We start from the raw sequence: 12,786 nt of genomic DNA on the forward strand, positions 1-12,786 counted from the left end.
AAGTGCTGAAAGAAAAGAACTGTCAACGTGGAATCTTATGTACAACAAAAATATCCTTCAGGAATGAAGGAAAATCAAGACAGTCTCAAATTAGAAAAAAGAAAAAAAAAAACTAAAAGAATTTGTCACCAGCAGAACTACCCTAAAAGAATGGCTAAAGGAGGAGGGTGGAGCCAAGACAGCCGAATAGCAACAGCTCCAGTCTACAGCTCCCAGCGTGAATGACGCAGAAGATGGGTGATTTCTGCATTTCCAACTGAGGTACCGGGTTCATCTCACTGGGGAGTGCCAGACAGTGCGTGCAGGACAGTGGGGGCAGCACACTGTGCGTGAGCCGAAGCAGGGCGAGGCATCGCCTCACCCGGGAAGTGCAAGGAAGGGGTCAGGGAATTCCCTTTCCTAGTCAAAGAAAGGGGTGACAGATGGCACCTGGAAAATCGGGTCACGCCCACCCTAATACTGTGCTTTTCCAACGGGCTTAACAAATGGCACACCAGGAGATTATATCCCCCACCTGGCTCGGAGGGTCCTACACTCACAGAGCCTCGCTCATTGCTAGCACAGCAGTCTGAGATCAAACGGCAAGGTGGCAGCGAGGCTGGGGGAGGGGCGCCCGCCATTGCTCAGGCTTGAGTAGGTAAACAAAGCAGCTGGGAAGGTTGAACTGGGTGGAGCCCACCACAGCTCAAGGAGGCCTGCCTGCCCCTGTAGGCTCCACCTCTGGGGGCAGGGCACAGACACACAAAAGGCAGCAATAACTTCTGCAGACTTAAATGTCCCTGTCTGACAGCTTTGAAGAGAGTAGTGGTTCTCCCAGCACACAGCTTGAGATCTGAGAACAGACAGACTGCCTCCTCAAGTGGGTGCCTGACCCCCGAGTAGCCTAACTGGGAGGCACCCCCCAGTAGGGGCAGACTGACACCTTACACGGCCAGGTACTCCTCTGAGATAAAACTTCCAGAGGAACAATCAGACAGCAGCATTTGTGGTTCACCAATATCCACTGTTCTGCAGCCACCACTGCTGATACCCAGGCAAACAGGGTCTGGAGTGGACCTCCAGTAAACTCCAACGGACCTGCAGCTGAGAGTCCTGACTGTTAGAAGGAAAACTAACAAACAGAAAGGACATCCACACCAAAAACTCATCTGTACGTCACCATCATCAAAGACCAAAGGTAGATAAAACCACAAAGATGGGGAAAAAACAGAGCAGAAAAACTGGAAACTCTAAAAATCAGAGCACCTCTCCTCTTCCAAAGGAACGCAGCTCCTCACCAGCAATGGAACAAAGCTGGATGGAGAATGACTTTGACGAGTTGAGAGAGGAAGGCTTCAGAAGATCAAACTACTCCAAGCTAAAGGAGGAAGTTCGAACCAATAGCAAAGAAGTTAAAAACTTTGAAAAAAAATTAGATGAATGGATAACTAGAATAACCAATGCAGAGAAGTCCTTAAAGGACCTGATGGAGCTGAAAACCATGGCACAAGAACTACGTGATGAATGCACAAGCCTCAGTAACCGATGCGATCAACTGGAAGAAAGGGTATCAGCGATGGAAGATGAAATGAATGAAATGAAGCGTGAAGAGAAGTTTAGAGAAAAAAGAAATGAACAAAGCCTCCAAGAAATATGGAACTATGTGAAAAGACCAAATCTACATCTCATTAGTGTACCTGAAAGTGATGGGGAGAATGGAACCAAGTTGGAAAACACTCTGCAGGATATTATCCAGGAGAACTTCCCCAATCTAGCAAGGCAAGCCAACATTCAGATTCAGGAAATACAGAGAACGCCACAAAGATACTCCTCGAGAAGAGCAACTCCAAGACACATAATTGTCAGATTCATCAAAGTTGAAATGAAGGAAAAAATGTTAAGGGCAGCCAGAGAGAAAGGTCAGGTTACCCACAAAGGGAAGCCCATCAGACTAACAGCTGATCTCTCAGCAGAAACTCTACAAGCCAGAAGAGAGTGGGGGACAATATTCAACATTCTTAAAGAAAATAATTTTCAACCCAGAATTGCATATCCAGCCAAACTAAGCTTCATAAGTGAAGGAGAAATAAAATCCTTTACAGACAAGCAAATGCTGAGAGATTTTGCCGCCACCAGACCTGCCCTAAAAGAGCTCCTGAAGGAAGCACTAAACATGGAAAGGAACAACTGGTACCAGCCACTGTAAAAACATGCCAAATTGTAAAGGCCATCAAGGCTAGGAAGAAACTGCATCAACTAACGAGCAAAATAACCAGCTAACATCATCATGACAGGATCAAATTCACCCATAACAATACTAACCTTAAATGTAAATGGGCTAAATGCTCCAATTAAAAGGCACAGACTGGCAAATTGGATAAAGAGTCAAGACCCACCAGTATGCTGTATTCAGGAAACCCATCTCACGTGCAGAGACACACACAGGCTCACAATAAAGGGATGGAGGAAGATCTACCAAGCAAATGGAAAAAAAAAGAAGGCAGGGGTTGCAATCCTAGTCTTGGATAAAACAGATTTCAAACCAACAAAGATCAAAAGAGACAAAGAAGGCCATTACATAATGATAAAGGGATCAATTCAACAAGAAGAACTAACTATCCTAAATATATATGCACCCAATACAGGAGCACCCAGATTCATAAAGCAAGTCCTTAGTGACCTACAAAAAGACTTAGACTCCCACACAATAATAATGGGAGACTTTAACACCCCACTGTCAACATTAGATAGATCAACGAGACAGAAAGTTAACAAGGATATCCAGGAATTGCACTCAGCTCTGCACCAAGCAGACCTAACAGACACCTACAGAACTCTCCACCCCAAATCAACAGAATATAAACCCGTTCGAGAGCCATCTGATGGGCAGGCCAGGGCTGACAGAGGTGAGCGGCCATGGCAGCAGCACCCGGAGGAGAGGGGTCAGGTTTGGGATGTGTCGGAGGTGGAGCACCAGGATTAACTTCACATGGAGATGAAAGAGAGCAGGGACTCAAGGATGATTCCTGCCTCTGACCTCGCTCCTTGGTGGATAACAACGCCAACAGCCAAGACATGGAGGGCTGGAGAGGAGCAGTTCAGGCATGAGGTTTTCAGATGCTGACTAGACATCAGGCAGAGAGCCACAAGATCAGTGCTCCGTAGAGGACGCCCTAACCCAGGGGAGAGGTCGGAGGTGGGGAAGCACACTGGAGAGTTATCTGCACACATCCACATGCAGTCACAGGATCACAGGACACCGTCTAGGAGAAGGTGCCATAGAAAAGAGGGTGAAGGATTGTGTCCCAGACACACCGACATTTAGAGTCTGGACTTAGGCAGAACAGCTCACAGCAGAGGCAGGCGAACGTGGAAGAGCTGGAAGAGTGTGGTGAGACTCATACGGCAAAAGCTGTTGAACAGTGTAACCTCATCCCAAGAACTGCAGAATTGGAGTCCCAGAAAGTTTCCATACACACAAAAAAAGGTTAGATAATATTTTCTTCTAATAGAAAAATAGTTAATGCCTCATCAAATGTAAAGTAGTCACATCAAATAATTATGCTGCCATAGAGAAGGATGTATATTTTACTTTTTTTTTTACTTTAAAGCTCAAATGGTTTAGTATAATTTATGGGGCAATTTCTTTGAGAGTATTGCGAGTTAGCCAAGGAATTCCGAAATATTCATCAAGAGTTTTCTTTGTTTTAAATGTAGAAAGTCCAGCTGTAATTGCCCTTGTGAAACTTCTTGCACAGAATAAGAAGTTAAAAATTGATTAGAGTTTGGTCAAGGGGAGATAGAGTAGTTGGCAATCAAAGATACTTTTTAACATGATATTAAATGTTGAACAGTATCAAATAATTTATAAATAAGAAAAGCTGAGAACATACACAAATGAGAAAGAAAAAGGACAAAGCAGAAGTACAAGTTTAAAGGTTGAGACAAAATCAAACTGAAGTTACACCTACTGCTCTTTCAAGTATCATGGAGAGAAACAAACTAAAGTCCTGAGTGAAATTTCCACATGTTTTCTGTTTTCCTCCTGGAGTCCTCATTTACAAGAGGGGTGTATATGACTAAAAGATAAACAGAGGACACCTGCTGTCAGGAATGCATTTCAGAAGCATCTCCCAGGTCTCTGTGCCCCGCCTGGCCCAGCCTTCTGTGACTTCTCAGTCCACGTTGGCAATCAGGGACGTGAAACACAGTGTCCATCCCTGCCCGTGGTGACAAGCACAGGTGCCTCCCACCAGCCTGCTGACTCAAACCCCATTCCTAATGTCATTGAGCTGTGTGCAATCCAACACGCATGGCATTCAAAGTACTCTCAAATTGGGTGTTAAATCTATAATCGGGCCTTAAAACTGTGTTCTCCCCAACATAAGCCGTGTGCTTTGCCACATTACTGACACTATGTGAAAAAGTAACAGAGAGGGCAAGCCCGTTTATTGCTGTGCCAAAAACAGCCCATGAAGATTTAAGTTCTGCAATGACCACAGGCCCCTAATGAGGAAGCACCAGGGTCGCTTAAGTCAGAGCACAAAGGGAAACCCTCGCTGCACTAGAAGCCGCTAGGCAGCCCCTGCCCTGTGCTGTGTGGGGCTGCACCTGGGTCCTCGCCTCGCCTCCCAGCACCTCTGCTCAGCTCCTGTCCTCAGTGTCTCTTCCCAGCCCCTGCCCTGCACTGTGTGGGGCCGCACCTGTGTCCTCGCCTCGCCTCCCAGCACCTCTGCTCAGCTCCTGTCCTCAGTGTCTCCTCCCAACCCCTGCCCTGCGCTGTGTGGGGCTGCACCTGTGTCCTCACCTCGCCTCCCAGCACTTCTGCTCAGCTCCTGTCCTCAGCGTCTTCTCCCAGCCCCTGCCGCTGTCTTCGCCTGTCCTTACTGCCTTTGTTGGGGCTACTGCATGCAGCCCGACAATGCCCACATGGCCAGGCCACCCCTTCTTCCTACACATGCTGGCACAGAGGCCTTCTAAAGATACACCTGACCTTATCACTTCCCTACCGAAAGTCTTTCACTGGGCCCCTGTTGCCCAGCGCAGGGGTCCGAGAGCCCTGGCTGTAAGGGCCAGAGAGGATGTATTTCGGCTTTGCCACCCTGCAGTCTCCGTCGCGGTGACTCAGCTCTGCCATGGCAGCATGAGAGCAGCATGCAGCAGCCTCACTGTGCTCCCCAAGAATGCTGTGAAAGCTGGGCTGGGCTGCGCTGGCCGGTGGGTCACTGTCCACCAGCCGCTGACCTGAAGGATAAAGCCTCATCTCTCCGTCCCAGGGTGTGAGGTGTTTGGTGCACAGTGTTGGAGGTCTCCCAGCAGAACGTGAAAGGTGGTCAGGAGGCCGCGCCTGGGGGCAGAAGCCAGAAGTCACCTCTGCACCTTCCTGCATGCCGCTGCAGGCCCAGCGCTGCCTACAGACAGGAAGCCTGTCACAAAAGGCCCCATGTCACCTCCCTGATGCCCTTTGCATGTGACGTCCCAGCCCCAGTAGCCCTCGCCTCATCCCCTCCCTCACCGGTTTCATGCCTGCTCCCTGCACCCTGCACTTCTAATCACGATCCACCTGAAAAGCATCACAGGCCCTGTCAGGCCACACCTGTACCTCACACAGGCTTAGCAGGGTTCGCCAAGCAGAGCTGAGTGGCCGCTTAGCTGAGCCTTAAAACCCATTCTGTCATCTAAGCAGGCTCTCTGGTTCCAGGTGGTTCCAGGTGGTAGGCTGTATGGTAAGCCCACATGCCGGCCACATACCCACAGCTGCACCTCCTTCACCACAAAATTGGCACCTAGGTCCGACCCACATTCAACAAGATCACCTTTTGGTTAATCAGGCATTCTGTTACCCTTCAGCTTCGTGAGCCGACAGAGGCACTGTGAGCATAAAAGGCAATATCGTATCCAGAGCATGTGAACACTCGAGTGAAAACCAGTCATTGATTTCCCCCTCCCCAAATCTGGAAAGGGTTCTACCCACGCGGTGCTGTTGAGATGACGCCGCCTCCTCCTCCAGGACTCCTGTGGATCCCTGCAATGAGCAGGCCAGGCATGCAGCAGTCGTGGGTAGATCAGCCGTGGTGAGAAGGACCCGTGGTGTTGGGCCAGGCACAGCCTCAACCCCTGCCATTTTGGTTCCTCCACCTTGGGGCAGCCCACTGGGCAGCCCCGGACAGAGGCCGGCCCATCGCCCTAGTCCCGAAGCCTCTTTAGCAAATGTGCTTTCTGGTGGGTGGTGCGTGTCCCGTGAGACTTACAGACCTGCACGCTGTGCACCCCCGCGGCCTTTCCCAGACCACCTCCATTTCCTGACCTTCCTGCCAGGCTCTGACCAAACAGCTGGACCATTCATCACTGCCCAAGATCCTGCATACCTTTCCCGAAGGCCCCTTCTCGCTTCACACAGCAAAGGCCCAATGTGCTGCTTCAAGCCCCATCCCTGGGGTGACCGGCTGCAAACAGGGCCTGTTCCTGTCACTGGCTATGGGGAACTGGGATGGAACCACTATTGTGAGTTGGTAGAGAAGGTGTCGGGCGCCAGCCCGGGGACCTGACCCCCCTGATCCATCAACTCACTTCTGCTCCATGGCCCTGCGCAGGCCCAACCCCAAAGGTAGATTATTCACTATGTGGTAAATCGTGGCTGCCCCTAGCCCCTTAGACTTGTTGTGTCTGAGAAAATCCAGCTCACAAAGGCAAGAGCCAGCCATGGCCACCCATATTCTATGGGGAGCCCTCACTATCTACCAGAGCCCAGTAGCCTGCTAGGAGCATCTATTCCATGGCAAATGGTTCTCTGGCCCATGGGGAGCCCTCAGTATCTACCAGAGCCCAGTAGCCTGCTAGGGGCTTCTTTTCCATGGCGAATGGTTCTCTGGCGCAGAAGGTGTAACTCTGCTTTGAAAACCAGGGGGTCTAGGCCATGACTCCCTCCTGGGCTTGCTACAGGACCCACTCCAGAGCAAACCTCTCTGCCAGGCTACACCCATCCCCGGTGCGTCCACGGGGTCCCGGCCTGAGTGTCAGTACAGCTGACACAGTGGCCTCGCCCTGCAGCAGAGCCTCCTCAGCCTTCAGCCCTCCGCACAGATGAGTCAAATCATTATTTCCAGGGACAGTTCTGTGCTTCTGAGTGGTAAGAGGTACAAGGTACAATAATTTGTCTTTTACCTTGAAAGGACTGTCCCAGCATGTCCCGGACCCTCGCATGTGAAACCTCGCTCTGACATGGGGGGAGTCTGAGTCTTTGCAGGGTCGGCCTGGGCTCCTCTGGCATGCGTGGTCTCACCAGGACCCCCAGAACACCTGCCTGTTGTTCTCCAGGTCCAGTTAGCCTGGTGTTGTCAACTTAGGGGGACCCAAGAGACTGCAGCAGCAGGTCCAGGCCACTGCACCCTGTTGATTGCTTTATGACAGAGAGCAAGAGAGTTAACACGGCCTGTGGGTAAGACAGTCAGGACCGCTGGTGCTCTCGGGGTGAGGCGGCCTCAGAGGAAGGGAGTCGGTGCCCGAGAAAGGCTGAAATCAGAAGTGATGTCAAGAGCCTGTGAGCTGGGCGCAGCGGTATCTTCACGCCACACCTCCTGGAAAGCTCCGTGTCGAAACATGCTGACTTCTCCCTCTTCCGCATTCCACTGCCCTGTTTCCATGTGCGTTTCCGTGACCTCACCCAGTGTGCTATGGTTTTGTGTTTGCACATCAGTCTTTTCCTCACGATGGATGCTCCGTGGGGGTCAGGATCCATGAATGTGTCCCCTCACCCTCCCCCACCACCTTCAGCAGTGCCTGCACAAATTAAAGATTCAATCAAAGATGGTTGCATTAAATTGAAATGTATAAATTATCTGGATCAATACTCACAAAAGCAGCTGACTAAGGATACTTACTTATCAAAGGAAGGATATTATGTTTAAATGTAATAGAAAATGCTATGAGGCATGAGATGACCAAATCAAGGCTTTTCAATCCGCCTGGTTAACCTCGTGGAGTCTAGTTGGTGCCAGTTACATGCTAGCTATTAGCAAAACAACAACAAAATACCACCTCCTTTAAATTGATTTGATTCTAGAATGTGCATGTTAATAATATCACCCACTGTTCAACTACTGGGCAGATATTTGTTGAGTCCCTACTGTGCGCCTGGCTTTATGGTAGGTGTAGCGGGTAGAACAAGTAGCAAAATCCCGTCTCTGCCTTCTTGAACTCATGTTCTAGGTACCCAGCAAGTGAATTAAATAGCAAATTTAAGAAGTGGTCAGTTCTGTAAGTCCTGTGTATCATTGAGTAGGATAGGGGGATTCGTCATGTAGGAGGTTTGAGGGTTGGAATTTGCAAGGAGCATTGCGGACAGGCCCGTGGAGGTGGCAATGGGGTTGTGGTATGAACCACGACTTGGAAGAGGCTGTGGCATAGCATGGGGTGAGGAGGACGTGCTTCCCGAGGTAGAGGCAGGACCAGGGCCAGCCTCAGGTGTGAGAGACGGCCGAGTTCGGGCAACAGCCGGGAGTCCACTGCATTTGGTGGGGTGTCAGTCAGGAGAGGACCCCCTGGGGTGACCAGGGCACAGAGGGTTTAGGGTCTCCCAGCCCGTGTGAGAACGTGGGCTTTCACTCCAAGTGTCATTCCAATGGGCTCCTCTGGCTGCTGAGAGGCACAAGTGCACATGACAAACAGAGGATGCTGAGCCCATCCAGGTGAGGCCCACAGGGACAGACATGTTGACAGTGGCTGTATTTGCATTCTAGATATATTTTGAAGTCACGGCCAACAGTCTTTGTGGAAATTATTCCGTCAAAAAATAAAAGTCTGTACTACAAAACTTAAGGATTCTACTCCTAAATCAAACTGTGCCCCCCAAAACCCCCTTAAGAGAAAACAGCTCTCAGAGCTTCACAGCCCCCAGGAGACCAGGTGGCCTGATGCCCACTTCACATGAGATCGTGAAAGACAGTGGGTGAAGAAAGACCTCCCAGGGCAGAGACGGTGGACCAGGGCATCAGACCAGGAACAGAGGGGCCTGTGTTTCTTTTGTAATGTGGCACATTGCCTTGCAACTGGACACTTCGTTTCCTGACCCCCTCACAGCTACGGGTGCTTGTGTCAAATTCTGGCCAATGGGCCCTGGGGAAATGTGGGTGCATATTCCAGGCCAGGCCCTTTCAGGGAGAAAGGTGCCCCCCTGTTTTCTCTCTTCTTCCCGTGGGCTGGGCTTCAGCCTGAAGGTGGGAGCTGGAGTGGCCAGGTGGACCACAGGTGTCAGCCTGTGTCATTTGGGGTCACAGTTGAGAGACCTGGGTCCCAAACGATGCTGGAGTTGCCATGTCAACCCAAACTGCATAGTCGGACTGAAATGTATTCATTTCTATTTTGTTCAGGCGCTATTATTTTGGGTCTCTGACGGTTAATCCTACCCTAAATAATGCAGGTGGTCAGCAAATGAGGCCAGAAGGAAGGGCTGGGCACTGCAGTCGCCAGGAACAACCGTGTCCAGCCATTAGGATGGGCAAGGGCAGAGCTGAAGGCAGAGACGAGGTTGGAGCCTCCAAGGAGCAGCACAGTGCCAGTGTGGATGAGACCGAAGGAGCTGGAGGAGAGAGGGGACACAATGGCGGAATGCAGCAGGTCGATGGGGTGAATACAAGCAGAGGGCTGTGCCCTCCACGAGGCAGGAAGTCACTGGAGGAATGTGAGCAGGACAATGACACCATCCTACTAGAGTTCTCACAGGACCTATCTGGCTGCTCAGTGGAGAACACACTGTTGGGGACGTAGGTAGAATCAGGGTTCAGGTAGGAGGGAGAATAGGAAATTCAGGTAGGAAGGGAGGACCAGGGAGGCCAGGGTGGAGGGAGAACAGGGAGGCCAGGGAGGAGGGAGAACCAGGAAGACTGGGCAGGAGGAACCAAGGAAAACAAATAAACAAGAGAACCAGAGAGACCAGGTAGGCGTGAGGGCCAGGGAGGCCAGGGAGGAGGGGAGGCCAGGTAGCAGGGAGAAGAGGGAGGCCAGGTAGGAGACTAAGACAAAATTCCAAATGAGACATGACAGTGGCTCAGAGTGGGGTGGGAACAAGCTAAATTCTGAACACATTTCGAAGGTAGTTTTCTTGGTCTGTTCAGGCTGCGATCATAAAATGCAATTGTACAAATAGGGAAACTGAGGTCCAAAACAGCTGAGAAATTCACTGAAGGCCACATAGTTCTAAGTGGCAGAAACATGATTCAAACCTAGATTCCTGACTCCAAAGTGCGTCCTCCCCCCACGACCCTGCACTGCTGGAGAATGACAGCCTAGCAGCCCAGAAGAAAGAGGCTGATGCCCAGACGGATTGTGCGGATGGTTCTCGATGAGCCCCGAAGCACAAGGTCATTCAAACACCTTCTCCAACAATTCATTCTTCCCCAAGGACAAACACTACAAAGAGCCAATTCTGAATTGTCAGAACGGGAATGTATTCCTCATGGCAGAGGCCAAAATGCCACAGAATTCTCAGAAAATGAAGCACATTATGAAAACGAATGTGAATCTGAAAGTCCTGGTAATCCCCGGTGCTCACATCTGAGATTTTGTTGAATGCTTTGACATCTTCCTGCTGGAATTGTGCTGCTGACCACGTGTGCTCTCATCCTTGCAGAAGCGGTGGGGCCAACACGACTTCCCGGGCAGCCTCGGGAGCGTCCCCAAGGGAGGTGAAGCATTTCTGAGTCGTGAACAAAGGACCGTTTGGTTCTGCAGAGAAGGGGCATGTCTTTATTTGACTAAGAAAGATTTGTGAAAGAGAAAATTATATTTCTTAAGTCATAACAATGTGAGGATGTTTTTAAATCTAAGGATTTAACTCTTCTTAGCTCCCCCACTTTTTTCTTTTTCTTTTTTTTTTTAATATTTGAGGCTACTAAGACACCCAGCGGTCAGAGCCAAGGCAGGCCCAGCCGTGGGACTGGCTCCTAATCAGCGATGCCTGCGTGGAGCACTCTCCAAACGGAACCCCGCCTGAAGCCAGGTCTGAACTGTCTGTTGCATCCTCTCTCAACCAGGGTTCTGTGAGGACACGAGGCCCTCAGAGACGATTTGAGTGGCTTTGCCTCAGTTCACCCTAGGGTGGTTGCAGCCAGCACGACTTGCACAGGAGGGAGGCTCACTGGAGGAACGGGGCAGCCTCGGGCATGACGCGTGATGCCTCCTTCTCTCACCCCGACGGGAAGCACGGTGTGTTTGCAGCATCGGCAACCACAGGAGTAATTGTTCAGGGCTCATCAGAGTTAATCAGTAGGAAAACATAAGAGGCTCTTGCTCTGACTGCTGCAAGAAAACAGGCCTAGAAACCCCAGTCAAAGTTTTCCTGGCGTTGGATTAGAATGGGTGTCATGACATTTGTAGAGTAAGAAAGATGGTTTTTCTTGGAGATCTTGTTTAAAGGCCTGGATCTTTTGTTATTAATGATTTAGAAGAAAAGATACAATCTCGTCTTTGTTCACCTTTCTTAATGCTGTCAGATCGTGAAACAGAACTTACAAATGTGCGGGGAATATTTGGAAGCAGGACTGTATTTTTCACTTAGGATGTGGGATCAGATGACCGTTCCTTTGGTCTTTTCATTCATTTTTTGACGCGTGAGCTGCTGGGGAGCAGCCAGGGCTCACAGGGGCCGTCTCCTGGTTTCTCCCGAGGGGCCTTTGGTTTGGAGTTGGATTCCGGTACAACAGCCAGTCATTCACTCACCAGCACGTCACCACCCTGGGGTAAATTTCAGCTCCGTTTTTCATTTTCTTTATCGGTTACTTAGCATCTCTCACATGCCTTCTCCACAGGAAGTCTGAGATGCTCCCTTGCAGGGCTCTGAGGTCTCCCTGGGAGAACAGAGCCCAGGAGCTCTCAGCCCGGGCAGGGATGGGCCTGGTGCCCAGCTGCCCCTGGCCCGGCCGCGGCCTCTGCTGCTCTGCTCTGCTGCGGGGCCCGTTCAGCCTGACCTCATTGGAACTGCCTGGATTTCAGTGTCTTTAACTGGAAAATCCGTAGCAAGTGGCTGGGCTAGAAGAGCTTCCAGAATTCTGAGCAATCTTGCCCTGGAAGTGAGCGCAGCTGCTGTCTGGCCTCCCCACCCCGAGGCGGCTCCCCTGGGACCTGCCCCTTTCCAGCTGGTGCGACTCCCACACCGTCATCCACTGATCCTCAGAGAGAAGCGGACTGCTGAAGCCAAGCCATGGTCCGCTCCTTCAAGGTTTCAGTTTAACCCCTTTATCCCAGGTAGAGACAGGCCACCACGGGCCCTAGTGCCCTGAATCCACAGAGCCAGTGCCTGCCACTTTACGTTTGCACAGCCCTAGACCAGCCAGACCTCCAAAGCAGGTTCATTGGCATAATTTAAAATGCTCTTGTGCCCACATAGATTTGAGAATAACCAGATCACAGTGGGGCCTCATCTGTGGCTTGGTGCCAGAAATAATAAAGTACACTTCCCTGGTTTTCCATCAGGGTAAAGGAAAATGACTTTGGAGGAGCAACTCACCAATGCTTCTGGAAACTCCCCTTGGGTGCTCCCTAACAATCCTGCTCATGGGAAGCGTGCTGAGGCCAGGTACAGGGCAGGGGCATGCAGGGGCCAGGCATGGCAGCCAACGCCAGGCACAGGACAGGGGTGTGCCAAGGCTGAGTATGGGATAGGGGCGTGCCAAGGCCGAGCACGGGACAGGGGCGTGCCAAGGCCGAACACGGGACAGGGACGTGCCAAGGCTGAGTATGGGACAGGGGCGTGCCAAGGCCAAGCATGGGACAGAGGTGTGCCAAGGCTGAGCACGGGACAGGGGCGTGACA

General features: G+C 51.0%; 1 long non-coding RNA gene across 1 annotated transcript in view, besides 2 other annotated features; it reads right to left on the bottom strand.

Moving 5' to 3' along the window:
* Window positions 1-12,786, bottom strand: part of LINC01250 (long intergenic non-protein coding RNA 1250) — a 230,979-nt gene that overhangs the window by 135,332 nt on the left and 82,861 nt on the right. The gene's annotated exons all lie outside the window — the stretch shown is intronic.
* Window positions 21-1,220: an enhancer, noted in NCBI's record as "BRD4-independent group 4 enhancer chr2:3034172-3035371 (GRCh37/hg19 assembly coordinates)". NCBI's record gives its function as "activates an origin of replication core promoter dependent on BRD2, P300/CBP, MED14 and CDK7 cofactors, and independent of BRD4, by STARR-seq in HCT116 cells {active_cell/tissue: HCT116}" and the evidence as "EXISTENCE:reporter gene assay evidence [ECO:0000049][PMID:35650434]".
* Window positions 4,176-4,723: an enhancer, noted in NCBI's record as "H3K27ac-H3K4me1 hESC enhancer chr2:3038327-3038874 (GRCh37/hg19 assembly coordinates)". NCBI's record gives its function as "activates a minimal SCP1, AML or CMV promoter by ChIP-STARR-seq in naive H9 embryonic stem cells {active_cell/tissue: H9 hESC(naive)}" and the evidence as "EXISTENCE:reporter gene assay evidence [ECO:0000049][PMID:30033119]".

This window comes from Homo sapiens, chromosome 2 (assembly GCF_000001405.40).
Source record: "Homo sapiens chromosome 2, GRCh38.p14 Primary Assembly".
In the NCBI taxonomy this organism is placed as follows: Eukaryota; Metazoa; Chordata; class Mammalia; order Primates; family Hominidae; genus Homo; species Homo sapiens.